General features: G+C 56.2%; 1 protein-coding gene across 19 annotated transcripts, besides 14 other annotated features; it reads right to left on the minus strand.

Annotated features, from left to right (window-relative positions):
• Nucleotides 1-905: 905 nt before the first annotated feature.
• On the minus strand, nucleotides 906-23873 carry FAM78A (family with sequence similarity 78 member A). 19 transcript variants are annotated; one of them, NM_001400592.1, is made up of 5 exons: nucleotides 13288-13383; nucleotides 7412-7455; nucleotides 6306-6427; nucleotides 5519-5565; nucleotides 906-4178 (listed from the first exon to the last, which is right to left on the minus strand). In NM_001400592.1, exon 5 carries the CDS (start codon nucleotides 4028-4030, stop codon nucleotides 3650-3652), a length of 381 nt encoding a protein of 126 aa, NP_001387521.1. In that variant the 5' UTR covers nucleotides 4031-4178; nucleotides 5519-5565; nucleotides 6306-6427; nucleotides 7412-7455; nucleotides 13288-13383; the 3' UTR covers nucleotides 906-3649. The 19 variants fall into 19 exon arrangements, with proteins under 19 accessions (NP_001387521.1, NP_001387515.1, XP_047279206.1 ...); NM_001400586.1 differs by lacking the exons at nucleotides 5519-5565; nucleotides 7412-7455; nucleotides 13288-13383 and adding exons at nucleotides 18685-19771; nucleotides 20168-20598 and having other exon boundaries at nucleotides 6306-6423; XM_047423250.1 differs by lacking the exon at nucleotides 5519-5565.
• Nucleotides 5531-5580: an enhancer, noted in NCBI's record as "active region_29175". NCBI's record gives its function as "activates an Ori minimal core promoter by ATAC-STARR-seq in GM12878 lymphoblastoid cells {active_cell/tissue: GM12878}" and the evidence as "EXISTENCE:reporter gene assay evidence [ECO:0000049][PMID:35858748]".
• Nucleotides 11667-11829: a silencer, noted in NCBI's record as "fragment chr9:134144226-134144388 (GRCh37/hg19 assembly coordinates)". NCBI's record gives its function as "represses an EF-1alpha promoter that drives an FKBP-Casp9 reporter gene in an ReSE screen in K562 erythroleukemia cells {active_cell/tissue: K562}" and the evidence as "EXISTENCE:reporter gene assay evidence [ECO:0000049][PMID:32094911]".
• Nucleotides 13848-13967: an enhancer, noted in NCBI's record as "active region_29176". NCBI's record gives its function as "activates an Ori minimal core promoter by ATAC-STARR-seq in GM12878 lymphoblastoid cells {active_cell/tissue: GM12878}" and the evidence as "EXISTENCE:reporter gene assay evidence [ECO:0000049][PMID:35858748]".
• Nucleotides 16248-16317: an enhancer, noted in NCBI's record as "active region_29177". NCBI's record gives its function as "activates an Ori minimal core promoter by ATAC-STARR-seq in GM12878 lymphoblastoid cells {active_cell/tissue: GM12878}" and the evidence as "EXISTENCE:reporter gene assay evidence [ECO:0000049][PMID:35858748]".
• Nucleotides 17818-17877: an enhancer, noted in NCBI's record as "active region_29178". NCBI's record gives its function as "activates an Ori minimal core promoter by ATAC-STARR-seq in GM12878 lymphoblastoid cells {active_cell/tissue: GM12878}" and the evidence as "EXISTENCE:reporter gene assay evidence [ECO:0000049][PMID:35858748]".
• Nucleotides 17888-17937: an enhancer, noted in NCBI's record as "active region_29179". NCBI's record gives its function as "activates an Ori minimal core promoter by ATAC-STARR-seq in GM12878 lymphoblastoid cells {active_cell/tissue: GM12878}" and the evidence as "EXISTENCE:reporter gene assay evidence [ECO:0000049][PMID:35858748]".
• Nucleotides 18018-18067: an enhancer, noted in NCBI's record as "active region_29180". NCBI's record gives its function as "activates an Ori minimal core promoter by ATAC-STARR-seq in GM12878 lymphoblastoid cells {active_cell/tissue: GM12878}" and the evidence as "EXISTENCE:reporter gene assay evidence [ECO:0000049][PMID:35858748]".
• Nucleotides 18053-18665: an enhancer, noted in NCBI's record as "H3K27ac-H3K4me1 hESC enhancer chr9:134150612-134151224 (GRCh37/hg19 assembly coordinates)". NCBI's record gives its function as "activates a minimal SCP1, AML or CMV promoter by ChIP-STARR-seq in naive H9 embryonic stem cells {active_cell/tissue: H9 hESC(naive)}" and the evidence as "EXISTENCE:reporter gene assay evidence [ECO:0000049][PMID:30033119]".
• Nucleotides 18053-18867: a biological region, named in NCBI's record as "H3K27ac-H3K4me1 hESC enhancer GRCh37_chr9:134150612-134151224".
• Nucleotides 18078-18127: an enhancer, noted in NCBI's record as "active region_29181". NCBI's record gives its function as "activates an Ori minimal core promoter by ATAC-STARR-seq in GM12878 lymphoblastoid cells {active_cell/tissue: GM12878}" and the evidence as "EXISTENCE:reporter gene assay evidence [ECO:0000049][PMID:35858748]".
• Nucleotides 18158-18207: an enhancer, noted in NCBI's record as "active region_29182". NCBI's record gives its function as "activates an Ori minimal core promoter by ATAC-STARR-seq in GM12878 lymphoblastoid cells {active_cell/tissue: GM12878}" and the evidence as "EXISTENCE:reporter gene assay evidence [ECO:0000049][PMID:35858748]".
• Nucleotides 18368-18867: an enhancer, noted in NCBI's record as "active region_29183". NCBI's record gives its function as "activates an Ori minimal core promoter by ATAC-STARR-seq in GM12878 lymphoblastoid cells {active_cell/tissue: GM12878}" and the evidence as "EXISTENCE:reporter gene assay evidence [ECO:0000049][PMID:35858748]".
• Nucleotides 19508-20687: a silencer, noted in NCBI's record as "silent region_20411". NCBI's record gives its function as "represses an Ori minimal core promoter by ATAC-STARR-seq in GM12878 lymphoblastoid cells {active_cell/tissue: GM12878}" and the evidence as "EXISTENCE:reporter gene assay evidence [ECO:0000049][PMID:35858748]".
• Nucleotides 21048-21147: an enhancer, noted in NCBI's record as "active region_29184". NCBI's record gives its function as "activates an Ori minimal core promoter by ATAC-STARR-seq in GM12878 lymphoblastoid cells {active_cell/tissue: GM12878}" and the evidence as "EXISTENCE:reporter gene assay evidence [ECO:0000049][PMID:35858748]".
• Nucleotides 23874-24083: the final 210 nt, after the last annotated feature.

A 24083-nucleotide genomic window follows, 5' to 3' on the forward strand; every position in this document is an offset into this window, starting at 1 on the left:
CTCACTACAGCCTCTGCCTCCCGGGTTCCAGTGATTCTCCTGCCTCAGCCTCCTGAGTAGCTGGGACTATAGGTGCCCACCACCACACCGGGCTAATTTTTGTATTTTAGTAGAGACGGGGTTTCGCCATGTTGGCCAGGCTGGTCTCAAACTCCTGACCTCAAGTGATCCACCCACCTCAGCCTCCCAGAGCGCTGAGATTACAGGTGCGAGCTACCACACCTGGCCACATCTCCATTTTTCCATACAAAGTAAGTAGGGCTCAGAGGGGCTGAGTGTCGGGCTCAAGCTCACATAAACGGCCTTGAACCTGTGATCTACCTTCAGAGCCCACAGCCACTCCAGGACCTCCAGGGCCCCCACCCATGTTTACACAAGAAAGCTCCATTTATAAGATGGTATCCATTCAAGGCTGGGGCCCCACAGGACCCCTCAACAGCTGCTGGCTGAGGGCAGGGCATGGAGCCCCCGTCCAGACTGACACTGTCCTGCTTGTCCACAAGAAGACAGCTTTGCAGGCCCAAGTTAAGGGTCAATCTAAACCTTAATCGCCCTTGACATAGGGGTTTTACTGTTCGCCAAAAAGTCAAGCTGCCCCCAATTCCTAGCTCTACCTCCAAGCCCACCACCCTCCAGGCAGGGCACTGGCAGGGGCACTTCCAGGTGCAAGGCTGAGACCGCAGGGCTGCTCTCGCTGGAGCTGGGGCTGTGAACAGAAGCAGCTGGAAGGAGCAGGACTCAAAGGCTGGCTCCCTCCTCCCATCTCCCAGGCCCTGAGTACGGGGATCCCAGCCTCAGCCCATCCTCCTGCCCCCCAGATACGTTCACCCCCGCAGCCAGCACCGCTGAGCCACCCACCCCAAAGTGAATCTCCACTTCAGAAACATCCAGGACCTAGCCAAGCCTACTTTAAAATTACATTTTATTTCTCTTTATGAATATTTGCTTTTTGTTTTTTGTAAAAAAAAAAAGGTTCATTGTACATCTTCTTCAAGAGTCTTGTGCCTCCTGGTAAGTGCATTGGTTTGTTTCACAGTACTCTCCACGACCAAGGACGGTTCTTATTGCTGGAAGGAGTGAGTGGATGTCCACGCCAGGGCGGGGCTGGAGGACATAAGAAGAATCGGGGCCCTGGCAGGAAGCCTGGGGCCTGTGCTCCAACATGAGCAAGGAGGCTGAAGGAGCAGACCGGGGCTCAGCTGAGCGTCCGTGGCCGGACCTGCAGCCTCTCCAGGGTGTTCCTAGCCCTTCTTCGGTGAGGAAGGGCAGAAAGAAGGGGCACGGGTGAAGGTGGGTCAGGGGGCAAGGTGGGCTGGGGGCCGGGCATGCAGTGGGAGGGGTGCTGGCTCCTGCCTCGAGTGTTTGCTCTCACTCAAGAAATGCGGGTTCGGGGGTCCTTCACCCCCTAGCAGCTCAGGAAGCCCCTTTCCATTCTGGTCTCCAGCCCCACCTCCAGGAATAAACCAGCGGCCTGAGACCCGCTTCCTGAACCCCCAGGGTCCTGTCCCTGCTTTAGTGCAACAAAGACCTGAGTGGAGAAGTCTCCAGTGAATGAAAGCTGAGTCCCAGCCCTGTCCCCACCCATCCTCAGACATGCAGCTGGGACCCACTGTTCCCCTAAGGCTACTGCCTTTCGGGGTGGCACGGCCTCCATCCTCACAAGAGAACCTGCAGTTTCTGCGGGGAGGTCCTGGCCCCCATCAGGGGCCCCCTGAGCACCGTGCCAGCCGGCAGCTCCAGCCCAGTGTGTCCCAGGACAGCCTCCTGGCACGAGCTGGGCCCGGAGACCGACGGCAGTGGCTAAACGGTCATTAAGCACCCCTTGAATAAACGCAATAGCCCGTGGACAAAGGAGCAGGGCAGGGACTTTGGTTCCCACACCGTCCCACGCTGTCACGGAGACTCTTACAAGTGGCTCATCTGCAGCAGAAATGGATTATTTTTCTAAATGGACGGTTTTCTGTGCTTGATAATTATTAGGCTGAGTGTGGGTCCCGGGCGGGTAGCTGTGGGTTTGGCAAGCTGGAAGGAGCGTGGCTTCAGCGGGATGTCCCCTAATAGCCCCTGCAAGTGGCCACAAGGCCGACACTGCTCAGAACCCTGGCACAATGGGTCAGGACTAAGTAAGCCCTGGAGCTCCAGTGACCTGGGACCGAGGGAGGGCAGGTCCCAGGGATGGGCTTCCAGACGTCTGTCCTCACCTGTTGCTCTCCACTGTGCCAGCCCAGCCTCCAGAGTGGCTCTGAACCCTCTCGACGATAAGCCCACCCAGCCCTCCCAGCCCTTGGCCTGGATTCACTTATTTGAGGACAGGAAGCAGGGGCTCGGCCGACTGCCTCCCAAGACTTCCCTAGAGCTTGGGTGCCTTCCACCTCCATCACTGTGGCACCCAGAGCCTGACTGCACCGTCCCGCTGCCCTGAGGGCCTGGGAGGGGCGCCCCTGAGAACGAGCCCTGTCTTGGCCCTTTTACAGTACACCAGGGGCCAGCCAGCCACAGGGGCCGGGGCCCACCCGATTCAAGTCTTAAAATGCCCTGCAAGAAGGGACGTGAATGCCTTCCTTACCTTTGAGACTAACATTGAGGCTGTGTGTCGGCGGTCCAGGTGGCCGGCCCCCAGGCATTTGGGACCAGTGTGGATGGAGAAGGAAAAAGCCACACACCTGGAGGAAGGGCCAGGGACTCAACTGGGGGTGGGTCCTGAGGACTGAGAGGGTGAAAATTCCCTGGGCTCACAGGAGCCTGCCTCTCTCCTCCTAGAGCCGCCCAAGGGAAGTTAAGGCTGCTGGGAAGAGAGGGGAGAAGAGGCCAGGCGACTGGTGGAGCCACCCCCCGCCAGAGCTCACAGCCCCTCTCCGCAGGTGCAGGGATACGACCTGGGGGTGGAGGGAGAGAAGGGGCTGTTCAGGCAGAATCTACCTGTGGTTTTATTTCTGCCAAAAAGAAAGAGTGAGCAGCTGGTTTCGGGTCTAAATGCCCATCCTCACCCTTCTCCCAAGACAACCGGGAAGAAGGGCTCAAGAGACTCTCGCGGGCGACCCCAACCCTCCCTCCACCTCTGGCAGAAGAGGAAAAGTCCGGTAGAAAAGAGATCCTGCTTTCTTTCTCCGATTGGTTTTCTTCCTTTCAATTCAGCTTAAGGCAAAAGTTTGGCAAAGCAAGTCTACATAAGGCCGCATGACAGAGGGCGGAGGGACCTGGGGGGAAGGCCGGCCAGCGCCACAAATCGGCAGCAGTGTGGATCTGTCTCTTTGATCGGGGGCTGGAGCTTCCCTCCTAATCAGCTCCCCCTCCTCCTGCCCCTGAGCCCCCAAAAGAGGAGTTTTTTTAAAAAACGGAAAAAGCAGTGTTTCAGGGAATCTGTTACAAGTGAGCGACTGAAACTGAGAAAAAGGAGAGGCAAGGAGACCAGAGGTCACCCTGAGGGCGCACGTGGGGTCTGTCTGTCCTGCTTAGATCTCCCCTCTCCCTGAAAGGAAGCAGGTGCCGAGAGCCGGGGAGGCCTTCCCGGGGGCATCAGCACAGTGAGATCCGCCCGCTGGAGAGGGTAGAATGGTTGTATCTTGCTGAATGACTGAAGAGTGAGTCTGAGTTTTGTTTTCAGCGGTATTATTATTTGTGAGTCTAACCTAGCGGGTGGTCCTGGCTGTCACCGGTGCTTGGGCGGGATCACCACCAGCGGCTGCCCGTACTTGGGCCGCCACATGAGGACCTGGGCATCGTTGGCATTGGGCTTGACCAGGGCGCTGGGCGGGATGGGCTCATTCTTGCTCAGGATTTTGGGCTGGTCCTGGGCGATGGGCTCCCGCAGCCGGGCGCGCTGGCCCAGGGGCCGGTTGGGGTTCACCTCGATGCTGAGCTGCATGCGCCAGTGCAGCGTCTGCAGGATGATCATGTCGTTGGTGGAGGTGTTGGTGGCCACCAGCCAGGTGGTGAAGCTCTGGTCCCGGTAGATATTGGTGAGCTTGGCCACGTTGCTCTCGCTGACGGGCACGGCCCATGTGACGCTGGGGTAAAAGTTGTCATTCATGCTGATGATGAACTTGGAGTCCCTCTTGGTGGGGCCCACGATGGTGCAGGTCTCTGTGGTGTTGCCGTACCAGGGGTAGTTCACCCCATCCGAGTCGCTGATGGCTTGGATCTTGCCCTCCTGGAGGTCGGGGAGCTCCCAGCTGGACCTGAGGACAAGGAAGGCCAGTTCACTCACTCGGTCACTCAAGGAGGGCTTTCTGTGTCCCCCTGGCAGGCCAGGGGCTGTCCTGGGCCCTGAGGATGGAACGGACCCAGCAGACCACCCGGTCCCCTTTGACGTTCTGGGGGCAGGGGGTCAGACAGTAGCTCGGAGTCACTGTCATCACTGCTGCTGTTACAATCATAACCCTCAGACAGAAGAAGGTGGCCGGCCTGGCCCAAGTTGCTCTAGGGACATACAGATCCCACACTCCCATGTGGCCATGGATATAGTAGCATCTGGGAGCCCACCCCAGACTGTAGGGGCCCCTTACTTTAACATTACAGGCTCACAGACAATCTTCTCCATGCAACCCCACCCGGCAGATACAGAAAGTGAAGTGGTGGGCTGGGGGTGGAGAGTGAGGCTACATTTTCCTAAGGACATTTGGCCAAGCGGTGGGGCCTGGGACCCCGGCGCATTTCCACCAAGGCACCTGTAACAGGGAAGCTCAGGACACCCTGCGCCCACTGCGCCTTCTGCTCACCTACGTGCACAGCGGGTACTCCCAGGAACAAGCTACTGTTAAAAATGCACTCCTGGCCGGGCGTGGTGGCTCACACCTGTAATCCCAGCACTTTGGGAGGCTGAGGCAGGCTGATCACTTGAGGTTAGGAGTTCAAGACCAGCCTGGCCAACATGGTGAAACCTCGTCTCTACTAAAAATACAAAAATTCACTTTGGGAGGCCAAGGGGGGCGGATCATGAGGTCAGGAGTTTGAGAACACCCTGGCCAATATGGTGAAACCCTGTCTCTACTAAAAAAAATAGAAAAAATTAGTCAGGCATGGTGACATGCGCCTGTAGTCCCAGCTACTCAGGAGGCTGAGGCAGGAGACAGAGGTTGCAGTGAGCCGAGATCACGCCATGCACTCCAGCCTGGGCGACAGAGTGAGACTCTGTCTCCAAAAAAAAAAAAAAAAAATTAGCGGGGTACGGTAGCAGATGCCTCTAATCCTGTAATCAGGAGGCTGAGGCAGAAGAATTGCTTGAACCTGGGAGGCTGGGTTTGCGGTGAGCTGAGATTGTGCCACTGCACTCCAGCATGGGTGACAGAGTGAGACTCTGTCTGCAAAAAAAAAAAAAAAGCACTCCCAACTGGACGCAGTGGCTCACACCTCTAATCCCAGCACTTTGGGAGGCCGAGGCTGGCCAACACAGTGAGACCCTACCTCTAAAAAAAAATGCATTCCTGTTCCTAGAATTAATCACAATAGCCAAAAGGCAGAAGCGATCCAAGTGTCCAACGACAGATAAATGGATAAACAAAATGTGCTACATACGTACAATGGAATGTTCTTCAGCCTTAAGAAGGAAGGATGTTCCAACACAGGCTACAACACAGATCAACCTTGAGGACGTTATGTTGAGTGAAATAAGCCAGCCACAAAAAAACACAAACTGTGTGATTCTACTTATGTGAAGTCCCTAGTGTTGTCAAATTCATAGAGACAGAAAGTAGAATGGAGGTTGCCAGGGGCTGGGAGAAAGAGGAACGGAAAGTTGATATTTCTTGGGGACGAAGTTTCAGTTTTGCAGATGAAAAGAGTTCTGGGCTGGGCGCAGTGGCTCACACCTGCAATCCCAGCACTTTGTTAGGCCGAGGCAGGTGGATCACCTGAGGTCAGGAGTTCCAGACCAGCCTGGGCAATACGGTGAAACCCTGTTCTACTAAAAGTACAAAGATTAGCCAGGCATGGTGGTGGGCACCTGTAATCACAGCTACTCAGGAGGCTGAGGCAGGAGAATCGCTTGAACCCAGGAGGCGGAGGTTGCAGTGAGCCGAAATCACACCACTGCACTCCAGCCTGGGCGATAAGAGCAAGACTCCATCTCAAAAAAAAAAAAAAAGAAAAAGAAAAGAGTTCTGAAGATAGATGGTGGTGAAGGCTGCAAAACAATTTGAACAGACCTAATGCCACTGAGCTGTACACTTATGAATGATTAAAATGGTCTATTTTGGCTGGGCACGGTAGATCACTTGAGGTCAGGAGTTCGAGACCAGGCTGGCCAACATGCTGAAATCCCGTCTCTACTAAAAATACAAAAATTAGCTGGGCGTAGTGGCAGGCACCTGTAATCCCAGCTACTCGGGAGGCTGAGGCAGGAGAATCGCTTGAACCTGGGAGGCAGAGGTTGCAGTGAGCCGAGATCATACCATTGCACTCCAGCCTGGGTGACAGAGCCAGACCCTGTCTTAAAAAAAAAAAAATTAATAATAAAATAAAATGGTCAATTTTATAAAATGTTACATAGGCTTTACCATAATTTTAAAAATGCATTCCCCTACTTATGCATCATATAATGTTAACAGTTAGCAAAATTGGGGCCGCCGCAGGAGGAATGATTAGGAACATGATTTTGCTAATTTTCCTGTTCATCTCATTGAAAAGCTCACTCATTAGAGTAACACCTGCTTAATGGGCATCTCCTGCCCAGCCCCTGAGTACCCAGACTCAGGGAACCTGCAGGCAGCTCAGACAACCTCACTGTCCGGAAGTACCCAGCAATTCCTAAGATCTAGGGGGGCCCCACAGCAGCAGGCAGGATGACAACAGGGTGAGCCTGCTCATTCATTCCCCCGCACAGATGGAGAAGCGGGTCAGGGTCTCTTTGCCCACTGGGGGCCTAGTCTCCTATTTCAGAAGGAAACGCCCACTCTGTCCTCACACAGTGCTTACACTTGCTTGGAAAAGTTTTCCGTTTTTTTGGTTTTTCAGGGCAGGAAGCAAACTTGCATAAGGAACCCCGCTTTGGCCTTGCCCCCTCTTTCGTTTGCAAAGAGCTGAAGGTCTGGTTTGGGGGAGCAGGACTGAGCAGCAAAATAGCCCTCCTCTTCCTGACCCCAGCCTTGGGGTTTTCTTTCCTTTCCCAGTCCTGAAACTCCCAGGCCCTGGCTCAGGCAAAGACAGGTGAGGAGCCTCCCAGGCTGGCAGACAGCACTGCGTCACGCGGGGCATGGCTCAGGGCCAGGGCCAAATCGTCACCAGGCTGCGTGGATCCCTCCACCTGGGGGTTGCAGCGGGTGCAGCAGCCCAGGGTCCACTGTCAGCCCCAGCTACTCGCACTGTGGTCCAGTCACAGACGCGCTGAGCTCTACCAGCTCTTCAGCAGCCCACAGACAATCCGCCAACATCTGCCTGCCCGGTTTTTGTGATGATTAAATGTACTGATACTCACTGCCTGGTGCAGCCAACAGCAGTCAGTGGAAGCTTCTGGAGACCCTTTGAGGGTGGCATCAGCAGTTAGAAGTGTGCCTCTCCCAGACCAGGTAGCCCTGATTTGACCCAAAGCCCTAATTTGACCTGAAGCCTTTTCTGACCTTTTTTTTTTTTTTTGAGACAGAGTCTCACTCTGTCACTCAGGCTGGAGTGCAGTGGCGGGATCTCTGCTCACTGCAGCCTCGGCCTCCCAGGTTCAAGTGATTCTTCTGCCTCAGCCTCCTGAGTAGGTAGGACCACAGGCACCCACCACCACGCCCAGCTAATTTTGTACTTTTAGTAGAGACGGGGTTTCACCATGTTGGCCAGGCTGGTCTCAAACTCCTGACCTCAGGTGATCTGCCTGCCTTGGCCTCCCGAAGTGTCTGGGATTACAGGCGTGAGCCACCGTCCCCAGCCGAATTATTTTTATATGAACTTGTTTCTCTTCTCTATTAAATTTCTATTGAGTTTTTTAGTGCTTTTTGTCCACCATTCTTTTGATTACAGATTTTATTGGTATTTTTCTTCTGTTTCTTCTTGGTACTTATTGGGGATTTAAACATTCTAATTCTGTTCTCTTAGTAGTTGTCCTTGAAATTTTCCGATTATTTTTAACTTAAAAGTCTAAAGTTAAGCAATATCTTAACCACCTTTCTCCTTTTTTTTGAGACAGAGTTTCACTCTTCCTGGCCAGGCCGGAGTGCAATGGCATGATCTCAGCTCACTGCAACCTCTGCCTCCTGGGTTCAAGCGATTCTCCTGCCTCAGCTTCCCAAGTAGCTGGGATTACAGGCATGTGCCACCATGCCGGACTAATTATTTAGTAGAGATGGGGTTTCACCGTGTTATTCAGGTTGGTCTCGAACTCCTGACCTCAGGTAACCCACCCACCTCAGCCTCTCACAGTGCTGGGATTACAGGCGTGAGCCACCATGCCCGGCCTAATTTTTATATTTTTTTAGTAGAGACGGAGTTTCACCATGTTGGCCAGGCTGGTCTCAAACCCCTGACCTCAGGTGACTGCCCGCCTCGGCCTCCCAAAGTGCTGGGATTACAGGCGTGAGCCACCGCACCTGGCTGTAAACAACCTGAGATTTTCAATGCTGAGACGGCAGAGCCTTGAACCACGCTCAGGGCCCTTCTGAGTGCAGGCCCCGGACAGCTGTCCAGTCTAGGAGCCCAGCAGGCCGTTCACCTCCATGGCTGTGGGCAGAGGCAGGCAGAGCCACCTGTCACACTCCCATCCTCCTAGGGACCCCAAAGGACAGCAGGCAAGTCCAGGCTGGAACCCAGGCGTCAGAATGCTTCCCGGGCTGAAGTGGCTTCCTCAGCCTCCCGCAGCGTCCCTGTCCTGAGTCCCATCATCACCCACCCAACAAACATCTGCAGGGCACCTGCTTTCCATGTCTCACGAAGCCCTGACATGGGTGGACAGAGCCACTGGCCTGGCTGGCAACGGGGAGGCCTGTGTCTCCGGGACACAGCGCCATCCTGGACTCTCCCTCGCCCCTCCAGGCTGTGCCCCTTCTCCTCCTCTGCCTCCACCATGGCCTTACCCCTCCCTGGTCTCCCAGCCTCCTGCAATCTGTTCCCCTCCCAGAAGCAGCCCGAAGGATCTTCTAAAAACACAAATCCGATGGCATGGCTCCAACCCTGTTAAACCGGCCATGACTCCCCTATGCCCTTAAAACCGACGCAATTGAAGCCTAGAGCCCTGCGTGTGTGCACACGTGCACAGCACAAGCACACACACGTGCATGTACACACACGCCCTCCCTGGGCTCCAGGGCCCCAGCCATTCTCAGCTGCTGCAGTGGGCCATGCTCCTCCCTCTCAGGGCCTTCTACCGGGAGCAGCGTCATCCTCGTCCTCATCCTCATCCTCCTCCTCCTCCACTCCTCTTTCCTCCTCCTCCCCCCCACTTCCTCCTCCTCTCCTCTCTCATAGCTGCTCATCACTCAGCTCTGCAGCCACCACCCCAAAGAAGCCTGCCTGGACCCTCCACATGGGCCAGGTGCCTCCTGCTATTCAACGCCACTGGATCTCATCCCACTGCCCCGTGGCCTGTTCATGAGGGTGATTAAATACTGATGCACTCATCTGCTGCCAGTCTCTACCCTAGACAGACCACGAGGCCGTGAGGGCAGGGCCAGGCCTGCCTCGCCCATCACCACATATCTGGGATGTATCACAGCACCTGGCCCAGCTTCAGGCACCATAATGTCTGTGGCCAGGATCAGTGGCTGTCAGTGCACGCTGGGTCTCCCTCGAAGCCCACAGGGCATCTCTGTGAGGAGTCCAGGGCCCCCAAAGTTGCCCTGAGCTTCTGCTTATCCTGCAGGGCTGCAGCTGCAAAAGCCTCTTGTTGGACAGTCACCTTAGCACGCGGTGACAGCAGGTACCACTCCCTGAGCACACGGGCTGCGCCAGGCACCACACCTCCCTGGGGCCGGGGCTGTGGGGAGCATTTAACAGAGGAGACTTACGGCAGTGAGAGGCCGGGTCCAAGGTCACACAACTGGGAAGTAACTGGGCCAAGGTCCCCAACCTGACCCAGCTCTTACCCCACCAGCCTCTAATGGAACCTAAGCGATCCTCTCACCTCAGCCTCGCAAGCTGTTGAGATGAGCCACCGTGCCTGGCCTGATCACCTTTTAAAAGACTCAACTATGGGAGTCTGAGGCTGGAGGTGAGGGGGCATCGCTTGAACCCAGGAGGTCAAGACCAGCCAGGGCATCAAAGCAAGAGACCCTCGCCTGTACGAAAAACTTAAAAATTAGCCAGGCATGGTGGTGCGTCCCTATACTCCCAGCTACTCGAGAAGCTAAGGTGGGAGGATTGCTTGAGCAATCAGGAGGTCAAGGCTGCAGTGAGCTAGGATTGCACCACAGCACTCCAGCCTGGACAACAGAGTGATACCCTGTCTCTGAAAGAAACAAAATCAACTAAATTTAGAAACAACTTTGAAATAACAGGTTGGATATGCTATATATACAGATATACAGATATATGTTCTAATAGGCAATAAATATGTTGCATTAAAATAAAATTTAGCCTTAACCTTAAATGATTTACTCAAATATTATCCCACCTCCTACAAGTGGCTCACATTGGGCACCTTAAGAAACACCTTTACAGATAAAGACTTGAGGCTCCAGGCCGGGCGCGGTGGCTCACGCCTGTAATCCCAGCACTTTGGGAGGCTGAGGCGGGCAGATCACAAGGTCAGGAGATCGAGACCATCCTGGCTAACACGGTGAAACCCCGTCTCTACTAAAAATATATTTTAAAAAAAATTAGCTGGGCGTGGTGGCAGGCACCTGTAGTCCCAGCTACTTGGGAGGTTGAGGCAGGAGAATGGCATGAACCCGGGAGGCGGAGCTTGCAGTGAGCCGAGATGGCGCCACTGCACTCCAGCCTGGGCGACAGAGTGAGACTCTGTCTCAAAAAAAAAAAAAAAAAAAGACTTGAGGCTCCAGGGCAAGGATCTGCCCATGTCACACAGTCTCCCGCTCAGTCCTGGTTTCAGTCCCTCACACAGGCTGGGCAGGAAGTTAGGAATTATTTTACCTACTCCCCAACAGTATGGATTTTATAATCTGATAAAATTTGCAGAAAGTACTCATTCTGTAAAAGCTTTACAATTTTACAGAAACGAATGCCCAAGAGCCCCCATTCCACACTGGACAGGCATCCTGGGTTCCTGACATCCCCCCCGCACTGCCGCCCCCCTGGGCTGTCCCCACCACCACCGGGTCACCAGGCCCTGCTCTCCTGGCCTCCCCAGTACCTGCTCACCAGCTGAGGGAGGGGCTGGAGGTCTCGCCTCCCACAGGGCCTGCCCACGGGGATTCCCCCACCACAACAAACCCCATTCCTTCTGGGACCCAGACACCTTCTCCCTGCCAACCCCACTCCCCTTAACCCAGGCACAGCTGTGGATCACTGGGATCTCACAAGGGGAGGAAAGACCAACAGCGCCTGTTTAATTTTAGTTATAAAAGAAGTGCTTGGCCAGGCACAGTGGCTCACTCCTGTAATCCCAGCACTTCGGGAGGCCGAGGCGGGCGGATCACAAGGTCAGGAGATCGAGACAGAGACGGGTGAAACCCCGTCTCTACTAAAAATACAAAAAAATTAGCCGGGCATGGTGGCAGGTGCCTGTAGTCCCAGCTACTCGGGAGGCTGAGGCAGGAGAATCACTTGAACCCGGGAGGCGGAGCTTGCAGTGAGCCGAGATGGCGCCCCTGCACTCCAGCCTGGGCGACAGAGCGAGACTCCGTCTCAAAAAAAAAAAAAGAAGTGCTCTTAGGCCGAGCGCGGTGGCTCATGCCTGTAATCCCAGCACTTTGGGAGCCAGAGGAAGGTGGATTGCTTGAGGTCAGTTCAAAACCAGCCTGACTAACATGGTGAAACCCCGAGAGGCAGAGGTTGCAATGAGCCGAGATAGCACCACTGCACTCCAGCCTGGGCGACAAGAACAAAACTTCGTCTCAAAAAAAAAAAAAAAAAAAAGAAGTGTATCAAGTGAAAACTGAAACCTACCTCCCCATGCGCCCCTCCCCATGTGCCCCATGTACTCTGGTAAACATCCTTTGAGACCTTGCTCTCTGCATACACACACAGGATATGTTCCCAACTTCAGTATTTTCTTTTTAACAAAAATGGGTTACTACCCTACATATTGTTTGATAACTTTAAACAAAAATGTAACAACAATGTATCATTTCCCCACTTGTCTTCATCGCCTATGGCCCTGCCTCAGAGTCTGCACTGCAGGCAGAGCATAATTTCACTCCCTCTTGAGGGGACACTTGAGTTGTTCCTGGCTTTTTGCTATTAGGAGCCGTGCTGGAGTTAACATCCTCACGTGTGCATTTTTTTTTTTTTGAGACAGTCTAGCTCTGTTGCCTAGGCTGGAGTGCAGTGGCGTGATCTCGGCTCACGGTAACCTCCACCTCCCAGGTTCAAGCAATTCTTGCACCTCAGCCTTCTGAGTAGCTGGGATTAAAGGCACGCACCACCACACCCAGCTAATTTTTGTATTTTTAGTAGAGACAGGGTTTCGCCATGTTGGCCAGGCTGGTCTCGAACTCCTGACCTCAGATGATCCACCTGCCTCAGCCTCCCAAAATGCTGGGATTATAGGCGTGAGCCACCGGGCCCAGCCCATGTGCATCTTTATGTGCTGCTTCTCCCCTTCGCGTGATCATTAACTCACTTGTTCAGTAGATTATTTTTTTGCCTCCAATATGCAGGCCCTGAGCTAGGGGCACAAAGTTTCTACAAGAGGCTCTAAAAGTACAGGCCGGGCACAGTGGCTCACACCTGTAATCCCAGGACTTTGGGAGGCCGAGGCAGGCAGATCACTTGAGGTCAGGAATTTGAGACCAGCCTGGTCAGCATGGTGAAACCCCATCCCTACTAAAATAAAAAAAAAAAAAAAAAAAAAAGCCAGGTGTGGTGGCAGGCACCTGTAATCCCAGCTACTTGGGAGGCAGAGACAGGAGAATCGCTTGAACCCGGGAGGCGGATGTTGCAGTGAGCCAAGATCATGCCACTGCACTCCAGCCTGGGTGACAAGAGTGAAACTGCATCTCAAAAACAAGTACAACCACCGAGCTGAAGGGCTTGCACATGTGGACGGTAACAGGCACAGCTGAGCTCACCTCTCAGCATCCTCACCTGCCTCAACTGTCCTCCCACAAACAACAGGTGAAGACGCTTCCTTCCCCCAAACACTGGGCACGACTGATCTTTTTCAATGCACCCAACTCCAATCAGCAAAACAAAGGATATCAGTATGTAACTTGTCATTTCCCTGATTACTACGGCTGTTGAGTGACGCCTCACTTGGTCTCCAATGTTTGTTTCCAGTGCTTGGAAGGTGGATGAGGGCTGCAGCAATCCCTTGGCCAGGGCTGGTCCTGGGGGAGCTCTCTTTAGGCTGGGTCATCCCCCCTACTTCCTCCCACCCCAAAGCCTTGAAACAAGGACTTCCCTCTCCCACCCACCCCGCCCTTGCCTCCGCCAGGGCCCAGCAGATGGGGGAGGCCGCCTTCCGGTTACAGAGAGGAAGCCTCCTCCTCAATTGTTCTTTGCACAACTGACGCTCAGACCCCGGCTTCAGGAAGAGGCCACGTGGTCAACAGGGACATTCCTCCATGGCCTGTCCCCAGATCTGCTGGCGCTGAGCAACACTGCTCTGGCAACCAGCTTCAGGTCTTAGAAGCTGTGACCACATCATAAAATGAGGCCTTCCTGAGCTCCTGGGGAGGACGCTGGGAGACGGCAGGTGGGAAGGCGCCCGAGGCAGCCATTCTCAGCGTCATCCCAGCAGGACAGGGTGGCACCCAGCGGTCCCTCCACCCCTGCCCTGTCCTTTCCCACCAGTCTTTTTTTTTTTTTTTTTTTTTTGAGATGTGGTCTCACTCTGTTGCCCCAGCTGGAGTGCAGTGGTGCAATCACAGCTCACTTGCAGCCTTGACCTCCCCAGACTCAGGTGATCCTCCCACCTCAGCCTCCCAAGTAACTGGGACTACAGGCACATGCCACCATGCCTGGCTAATTTTTTTGTATTTTTTGTAGGGACAAGGTTTCACTGTGTAGTCCAGGCTGACCACTGGCCGTTCATAACACAGTGACAGCACTCATGCTATAGACAGGTATCTGAAACCCAGGAGAAGGGATAATGTAACAACAGCAACGAGGCAGCCACCTTTCCGGTGACTCCGACAGGCATCGCATAATGCATAAGACATTATTAGTATTACGATTCATAGCTATGGTATTGACGGCTACCATATATTGAGTGCCTGGTATTCGTGAGGTGCTGGGCTAAGGTCTTATCATCACAAGCCTATGAGAGAAGACTCATATTCCCATGTCATAGATGGGAACAGTGAGGCTTGGAAAGGTTAAGAGGCTGGCCCAAGGGTTGGGAGCTGGAGTTCACACCCTGCCATACATGGGCATGGGGTAGTGTCCCCATCCACCCAAAGAAACCCTTTCTATCTGAGCTGCTCCCCCTCCTCCCCGCCCAGTCTGCCCTTTGGCAGAATCCTGAGCCATAAACTGCCCCTGACCTTGGCCTTGGCCATGGGCGTGGCTGTGGGCCAGGTTCCCAGGGGGCTCCAGAGAAGGGCAAACCAGGGACAACGTGGAACTTCTCCCACACAGGCGAGAAATTGTGACTTGTCACTTAGAAGACTCTGTGCCAGCTGACAGGTGGCAGTTGAGGAATTGCGGGGGCCGGGCTGTGGAGGCAGGTGTCTCCAACAATTTGGATGGGGGGGGTTGGCTTTTAAAGCAATGTGGGTTGGACCCAAAGCCATATAGAATCCTCTCATGCTGGCACAGAGAAACTCACTCTTTTCCAGCTCTGTCTGCAAAAGTCAGGGTATTATTGAGATGGTGGTTTTTTTTTTTAATTGTTCCATTTCAAATATTTCAAACCCAGAATGTCATTCTAAAAAGTTATCCTCTTGGCTTAGGGATTAATTTTAAGCAGGGATAACGTTTGGGGGTATTATGGATTTTGGTTAAGTATTTGGAATTAACATTTTGGATACAAGCCCATTTGTAAAGAATGAAAGCCCTAACCTAGCTCTCGCTACCTAGCTGTCCCTTCCCCGGGCCACTAAAGCACAGGGCCTGGGTTTCATTTTAAGGATGTGAATTGTCTGGGTCAAGTCCAGTGGTTCTCCACTAGGTGTGATTTCATAGCCCCTCCTGGGGACATCAGGCCCTCCCTGGGGACATTATTGACTGTCACAGCTTGCGGGGATGTGCTCCTGGCATGGAGTGGGTAGAGGCCAGGGATGCTGCCCAGCCCCCTACCATGCACAGGACACCCCCCACCAGCACAGACAGAATTACCTGACCCTGGGCCAGGCAGAGCAGAGGAACAATTCTGGGCTGGTTGGGGTTTCTGGTCACCCCAACCACTGTTCCCTTTCCTTTTCATGCCACAAGGCTTAAAAACTTGGAAAATGGAAGTCATCACAGGAGGCCTGGGGCAGGGGAGACAGGAAGGGGGTTTTAAATCCCACCCAAGGCTCACACCTGTAATCCCAGCCCTTTGGGAGGCCAAGGCAGGCAGATCACCTGAGGTCAGGAGTTCGAGACCATCCTGGCCAACGCGGTGAAACCCCGTCTCTACTAAAAATATAAAAATTAGCTGGGCATGGTGGCGCATGCCTGTAATCCCAGCTACTCTGGAGGCTGGAGCCGGAGAATCACTTGAACCCGGGAGGCAGAGGTTGTAGTGAGCCAAGATTGGCACCATTGCACTCCAGCCTGGGCGACAAGAATAAGACTCTGTCTCAAAAATAAATAAATAAAAATAAATAAAAATTAAAAAAAAGATAACTAAATCCCACCTAAATGCTTCTATTTCCATTCAGCAAGGAGCTAAAGCAAGGCCGCATCCTGGCCTTCTCCATGAGCCCTTCAAGGGTGCAGGTTGAATCCGGGACTCTGTTCTTTGGTAACTCGGCCCCTTAGGATGATTCTGTTGATTACTACCAAGTACTCGGCAGCCTCCTCCTCTACGTCTCAGCCACAGGACGGTCACCCATACTGGCCTCTCGCTGAATCCTCACAGCAGCCTACGGGAAGTTCTCCCCCTCATGGACGGACACCAAACGGAACCCCGGGGGCTGCCTGGCCAAGGCCTAGGAGCCAAGACACGTGGACCCTTCTGCCCGACTGCTCCAAGCCGCCCCTCCCAGGAAGCTTCTGACTCCATCCTGTCCCTGGGGCTGGTCCCCGTGTATCCCAACCGGGATTGCACAGCCAGTGCACCCAGGGAGAATGAGCTGGGTGGGACACAGAGGCTCCCTGCAGCAAAAGAGGAGTCCCGAGAGCGAGAGGGAGCAAAGAGAAACATCAGGGGCAGAGAGAGAACAAGGAAAATGGCCTGGAGCCACTTTAAAACGCAAGTTCTTCATGCCTTACACTGCTTTAAAAAGTTTTAAACTCAGGAAGTGGGCCCTACGTGACAGAGAAAGACTCGGCCTGGGGAGAAAATTCACTACACGGTGTGGCTGACATCTGTCCTAATTCTGTAGTTTTAGCCACTCACATCTGATAGAATAACAGTAACAATCACAACACCGCTAAGGATGATCCCCATCCCATTACTGCCTGCGGTAAGTATTCACCACCAGCTTGGCGCAGGGCTGACTGCATGGCGAATTTGGTTAGCTTGAGTGATTCTCACAATAAGCCATGGGGAAGGGGTTCTTGCCAGCCCCAGTTTGCAGATGTGTAAACTGAGGGTCAGAGCAGTAAAGGGACTTGCCTAGGGCCACATCCTGGAGAGTGGCAGAACCTGGCCTCCCGCCCAGATCTGCCTAAGAAGGCATGAGGCTCTTCCAACCAGGAAGCCAGGACTGCGACAGGGAGGGCAGGGTTGTCTCAGGTCCCAGTCTCAGGCCTAGCTCCAGCCACATCACCCACACCTACTCAGGGTCACCAGATGGAGAACAAGTCTTAGACAAGACATCGGAAGCCCATGTGCACAGATGGGGAAGCTGAGGCTTGGAGTCTGTACCTTGGGTCAGGCCTGTGGCCTCCCCACCACACGTTGCACCAACCACATTAGCATCCAGTCCCGTGAGTGCTCATGTCTTTCCAAGTTCAGAAGAACCCACTGGCTTCCTTACCCCTTCCAGGGAAGAAACTAGGCTTAGCCCAAAACCCCGAGGAAAACTTTTGTTTCTACAACTGTCCCGATGCCTTCAAAGCCCGAGGAGGTTTCTGGGCTTAAGCGTTCTTAGAAAAGGTCCTCACTGCATAACTAAGAATCATGTTTCCCTGCTTAGAACAGAAAGGCAGCACCCCCTCCCCCGAACTGGATTACTAGCTGCTCTTGAGACACAAAGGGGTTGGCACAGAAATCAGGCTGGTGGAGAGGGCCGGTGAGAGCCTCTAGATGTGCCCCCCATGTACCTCTTTGGGACAGTCACTGTCACACGCTGGACTTAAGGGTTACTGTGATCCTCATGTTTCCTTTAGAACTTTGGAGTCATTAAGTAGAGAAGCCACCAGACTTGGTGTCCCGCCATCCTCCACCCCTCTCATTTACAGGTGGCCCATGAGATTCTTAAATCTGTGATAAGTTCCAGCTCCTGGGGAAATTCTCCTCTTTTCCCCACTTGCAAAACGGGGACGTGAAGCTGCACAGGGTAGACACTGAGAGAGGCTCTGGGAGTGTCAGCGGCCAGTCACGGGGCCACAGGGTAGACACTGAGAGAGGTTCTGGGAGTGTCAGCGGCCAGTCACGGGGCCGCATGGGTGGGCTGCCCGCCGGGGCCTGCCTAGCTCTCTCCAAAGGGTCCTTACGCTCAGAAACAGCTATTTTCACCATCCCTGTCTTAGGGTGAACCTTCAGATTAAGTCACTCTCCCAACTCTGCCTAAATGCAGCTCTTTTCACCCTGGGGACGGCCTTCTCTGGGGTCAGGAAGCAGGCCAGGAAAGGAGCCCCAGGGTCCCAGGGTCCTCACCGGGACCCCCAATACCCTAGGCACACTCTGGAGACCGGGCTTTGGGGCTGCAGAGGAGAGGCTCCTCTTTGCTGTTCCTGTTAGGGCCTCGCCAGAGGGACACTGGACTTGTCTGCATAAAGCGGTCTTCTGCCTTGGAGACAGAAAGCGATACACTGTGAAGAAATCGGGCTTCTAAAACTAACTGTGCTCTCAAACACAGTGCCGTTTGGAACGGGGAAGCACTCCCCCAGCTCCTGGCATACACTGGTAAAAGCCAGAAAGATAATTGAGGCCCAATCGCAAAGCCCTGAACACACCGGTCTGGGAGTTGCAGAGTGCCTGAATGTCTGCCATGGGCCCGCACAGGGCCAGAGGCCTGGAGGGCAGCCCTGCAGCCTCTCTGGTGACCCCTGATGGCACAGACACTCCTCAGGCGGACGGCACACTTGCTCTGCCAGGAAACACTGGGAGTAATGTCTCTCTGCTTTCTCGGCATCTTGCAGGGAAGGACACAGGAACCCGGGGGGAACAGTGGCAGGGTAGATTGCAGGACCGTGACTCCAATCTGGATCCACAGGCAAACTTTTCAGGGAGCCACCGGGCCAATGAGGCCACCTGCATACCTGCCTAAAGCTTCCCTCTGGCCTCCGTCCTGTCTTCATGGTATCTCCACCTTCCCCCTATCCGCGGCCCCCCACCAGGCCTCCAAGCTCGGCCATCCCTAGCAGTTCCCAGAGCTGGCTCTCGGCCGTACTCACATGCCCTGCTCGCCGTACTGGTTGTAGAACTCCATGTGGCTGCACGCCTGGATCCAGCCAACTACCCAAGTCTCCTTCTTGGGGATGGGCGGCATGACCACCTGGGCCGAGGCCCGGAAGTGGGGTGTCCGGTAGCGGAGCACCACGCTGGAGGACTCATCGATGCTAGTGGGGACGGGGTCGATGGAGGCTTTCACATCAATCACCGTGATCCCTTCCCGGAAGACTCTGGCTTTGCCTCCGATGCTCTGAATACAGCCCATGGCATACAGGAGCGCTCTGATCTCCAGGGAAGGCCAGCAGTCACAGAAAAAACCAGGCATTGAAAGGACAGAGGCTGCAGGACCCAGTACAGACGGCGCTGCTCTCCAATCTCAACTCTCAAGACCGATATCCATAGGATAGAAAACTCACTGAGTAGACTGGGGTTGCATATATCACTACCGCGGCCTGTTTATAAATAAGGATTCTGCTGCATTTCATGAGCCCTGGGCTCTCTCTTCTTCTCCTCGCAGTGGACAAAAATCACCGATATTCTTTGGGTTAAAAAAAGTTTGTAGTTTAATGAATAATTATGCGGTTCTGACATCCAGCCCTTCTGTGCCTCACACGCGGGGACGGCAGCTCGCAGACTCTCCCTGAAGTCTTCGGAGGAAGCAGGCGAGCGCCGGCAGACTCATAAATAAGGAAGGCTCTGTCCCCGCGCGGCCGCGCCACCCTCGCGGCAGAAGCCTGACTTCCTGCCCTCCGGCCTTCCGCACGCGCTCCCTCCGGGCCCCGCACCCGCACCCGCCCGGCGCGGTCGAATCAATTGCAGAGCAGTTTGTGTTCACCCGGCCGAGGTCCCGGCGCCCTCGGGGCGAGCGCCGACCCGCGGCTTCCAGGAGGCGAGCTCAGGGCTCCGGCCGCTCGCCGGTGACGGGGGAGCGCGGCGCGGGTCCCCGTCGGCGCCCACTCGCGGGCGCGGGCCGGACGTCCCCACGCAGGGGCGCCGCGTCCCTTCGCCGCTGTCGCTGCCGGCCGCCGTGCAGGGTCCCGGGGCTGCGCTCCGGCCGCCGCCGCCTGCTTCGCCGCGGCCGCCGAGGACCTGGTGGGAGGTGGAAGGGACAGCGCGTCAAGGCCAGCCTCAAAGTTAAGCCGAACTTTGCTGCGGGGGGCGCGCGGGGGCGGCGACGCGTGTGCGCTGGGCGCGGGCTGCGGAGCTGACGGCGCAGCTCTGGGCGGTCTCCCCGGAGGCGGTGGCCCCCGCCCCCCGCGCCCGCCCCGTCAGTGGCGGCCGCACGACCGCGCGCACCAGCGAATAATAGCCGCCCGTGACATCTCCGCTGATACCGTCCCGGACGGGCGGGGTGGGGGGCGAGCGGCTGCCGCTGCAGGGGGCGGCGAGCACTTGCCCTGCTCTGTCCCCACCGCCGCGCCGCCAGCGCCAGGTGCCCCTTCCCCACCCCGGTCCCTCCGGCTCCCTGGGCGCAGGGCCACCCACCAGTGCCGTCGGATCCGGCGGGCACCCCTTTCCCGGCTGGGGTCCCTCGGCCCTCGGAGGGCATAGTGCCCCCGCTCCGCCGCGTCAAGCGCCTCTGTCGCCCCTCTCCAGCCGCGAGCAGCCCCGGGTCCCCACGCGTCGGGCGCGCTCGCCGCTGCCGGGGAACTTTGGCGCGCACGCCCCCACTCGGGCGGCGCCGCCGACTCACCTGCCCCGGGGGCCACTCCGCTGGCCCGGGCAGCCGCTCTCCGGACGCCCCTGACCCGGCCGCGGGCACGTTCTTGGGGCGCCCCCACCCCCTTCCCCGGGCACTGTCCCTTGGCTCTACTGGAGTCTGGGGCCGGCGTGGGCGCCCCCGGCCCCCACCCTCCTCCCGGCTTGGGGCTTCGGGGGGGCGGCCGGGGGCGGAGGGCTGAGGCTCGGGGCTCTCTCGCCCCCACCCCGCGCGCCTCCTTTATTTTATGATCATTGTGAGCGCGCTGTCGCCGCTCAGCCCCGCCGCCGCGCCGCTGCCGCCTGGCGCGCCCCGCGCTGCCTCGCTCTGCTGCAGCATCGGAAAGGCAACCGGGTCAAACTTTGCAGAAACTCGGCCCCTGCGCCGGCCCGGCCCCCGCGTCCGCTCGCCGCCGCCGCCGGCCGAGCGCAGCCGGCGCACGCAGGGACCGCCGCCCGCTCGCCGGCCCCGCGGGGATGCAGGTCCGCAGGCGGCGGCGGCGGCGGCGGGCGGGCGCCGCCTCCTCCTCCCCGCCCGCCTGGCTCTCCACCCTCGCTCCCCGCACACAGCCCGCCCTCCCCCTGGTAATCCCTCGCTCCCCCTCGCTCCCTGTCTCTGCAGCTGCTCGGGGAGCTGAGCCTCTCCTTGAACAAACGACATTTCCTTTTTGGCCAGCCCCGGGAATTCTGGGTAGTGTAGTTCCGCTGCTGTCTCGGGGCCAGGTGGGCTGCTCCCAGTGCCCTTTGAACTCTATGGACCAGAGGCTTTCTGGGGTTCGGAGCACCCGCAGAAGGGCTCCCTTGCCCTGGGGTTCCTGACCGCAGGGAGACAGTGGCTTGGTGGAGACAGCGCGGGGGCTTTGTAGGCTCCAAGGCTGGGAAGGTCGCGGGGAGGGGAGAGCAGTTTGGGGAGAGGTGGGTCCCCTCGAGCAGGTCTGCTGGCTGCCTGTTGGACCCCGGCTGTGTGATGAGCGCTGTACAGAGCATCATTTCAGCCACCATCGGCCTCCCTGTGGAGGGAGACTGATGATGTGCACTTCACAGAGCAGGCACCCAGAGCTGAGAGGCTAGGGGATTTGCCCAAGGTCCTTCCCCCCGTCCCCCCGCAGGGGTCCCAGTGCAGGGGCTCAAAAGGAGCATGAGGCTGTACAGCCATGGGAGAGCTATGAACCCCACCCCTACCTTCCAGCCAGCCGTAGGGAAAGCCCAAGCAATTTGTGACATAAGTACATCTGGCAGCTACATTAAAGCCACGCTCTTCGTCCCCACCCCATCCCCATGACTCTGACTTCCACAGGTGCCCACAGCCGGCACAGGGCAGGTGCTTCCAGCCAGTCCCAGAGCCGGAGCACGCTGAGTGTGTGAGGGCAGGGCTGGAGGGACCGAGGGGCTGGCCACTCTTGGATCTCTCCTTTGAGGGGTTAACAACCAGGACATCTCACAGCAGCACCGGCTCAGCCATGGAGCAGGAAGTGGCTGGCTAGGGTGGCCTCCGCCTCTCACCCAGCCACACCCTCACCCCAGCACTGCTATGGCCCGTATCCCCAGCTAATGAGGAGGTGGTCCCTTTCCAGTTCAGCTAGTAGGTGGCTTATTCCTAGTCCCACTGACTCGGGCCAAGGCAGGGCCACAGAGATGGCCCCCTTGGCCTGTTGGACACAGTAGAACCCCAGACAGCACACAGATTACATCAGGGCTCTACATAAATGTCCATTTCCAGGAAGAAGTCTTCTCTGGCCTCTTCACCATGTGAAATGGCCTCTCCCTTCCATGAACTAATGGCCCCCACAAAACCTTCTGTCCCTCTGACAGTCACAGGGCCTTCTGCACCTCTTGTGCCATCAGATAATTACTGCACTACCCAGTTTATATGTAGGGACGATATTCACTTTTGAGATGTCTGTTTCATTTCCCGACTCTCATCACCCCGACAGCCTGGCCAGGGTGCTCTGTGAGGGTAGGAATGCTATCCTGGAAATGAGGTGACAAGTTCAAGTGCTCAATGAACAGGGCCAGAGCTGCACGTCCCTCTCGTGGAAAGGACAGGGACCAGAGCCCTGAACCGCCTTGTGAGCAGTGAAGCTGCTGGAGGTGATTTCCCGGGGGTGGGCTCTCTTCAAGGCCAGCTGGGAGTGACAGTGCCCCGCCCCCTCCGTCCTGGGCTCCGCCTGGGTTTGTAAAGCACCCACTGTGTGTCAGGCGTTACATTGAGCAGGCACTGTCTCTTCTATCCTTGACCTTAGCCCTAGGCAGTGGGCTCCACAGATAGAGAAACCCAAAAACCCAGGGATCAGGGGATAGAGACTTCTCAGAGGCTGGATGCCAGCTCCGATCTGACCAGCTCCAAAGCCCACATTCAGCTTCTTCACCAAGCACACCCCACTTGCTAGCCAGGGCCAGCCCCTCAGAACTAGGATGGGACTGATCACTAGGAAGTCCTACCAGCAGAGGTGTGTGGGCGCCCACATGGTGAGGACTTGCAAAGTAGAAGACCCCTCTCCCTTAACCTGCTCCCCCTTGACATCACCCCTGCACAGGATGTCATCTCAGTCTGCAGGAGAAGGGACCAGGAAGCATCAGTCCATGGGCCTGTTTGCCGGCTTTGAGCTGGGGGGCAGCTCTGCCAGGCAGAGGGTGTGAATGGGCTCGGCTCCTGCATGCACTCCCTGCCCTGGCTTCTGAAGCGCCCACCAGGGTTCTGGTGGCTTCCCCAGCTCGCGGCCCCTCCGGCCCTGCCGCTTCCCTACACAGCCCTTCCTCCTGCTCGTCATTTTCCGGAGCTCCGTGGGTGTTGGGCACAGACCCACGGCAGCCTCAGCATATGTGGAAGGCTCATGACGCATCCACGCGCGTGTGAAGTGCCGGTGTCTGCAGAGCAGAGGAAGGGGACATCTGTTTGAGTCATTGCCCAACAGCACAGGGCACTCCCATTGCTCTCAGGACCCTTTCCCCTCCCCCAGGCCTCAGGCTCCCTGGACTCTGAAAAATGAGAAAGAGGAGGGGTGGGGAGACACGGCCCCATCCCCCACCCGGGATGGTGAACACTGGGATGGCCACTTGGGAGCTCAAAGTGTTGTCAGTGGGAGGACAAGGTCCTCAATTCCTGGCACATTGGCCCAGAGAAGTCATGAAAACCCAAAGCCACACAGCAAGTCAGAAGTAGAAACAACACTGACCCTGCCAAGCTGCAGGGACCTGGGAAGTCTTTGGAAAAGAGACTGCTGCAGTGTCTCCTTGCAGGCATCACCGTGAGCTGGGGCTTTGCACACAGCATCTTCATGGCTTTCCACAATGATCCCAGAACTGATCCAGAGAAACCCAGGGATCAGGGGTTGACCCGACCCTGTCATCATCCCATTCTACAGATGAGGACACTGAGGCCTGGTGAAGAGGGAGGGGTGGATGGAACCAGGGGGCCTGGCTCTAAGACCCAGAGGCTGGATGACTGGGATATAGTGGGCGCTCTCACCAGCATTCCTTGCAGTATAGGGACCTTGTTTTCAGTGGCCACCAGAGACAGTCCCAAGGCTCTTTCTCTCTCATGGACCACTCTGCATTCAGAGTTTCAGCGGGTCCTCCAAGGGCTTGCCACCTTCAAGGCTGGGGTCATCAGAGGCCAAAAAGGAATCTCAAGAGAGGGAAAAGTTTTTGTTCTGCAGATGGAAATGTTCGGTGCTGGAATTCTGTTGCCCTGGGAGACAGC

The sequence above is a fragment of the Homo sapiens genome, chromosome 9 (genome assembly GCF_000001405.40).
Source record: "Homo sapiens chromosome 9, GRCh38.p14 Primary Assembly".
NCBI lineage: Eukaryota > Metazoa > Chordata > Mammalia > Primates > Hominidae > Homo > Homo sapiens.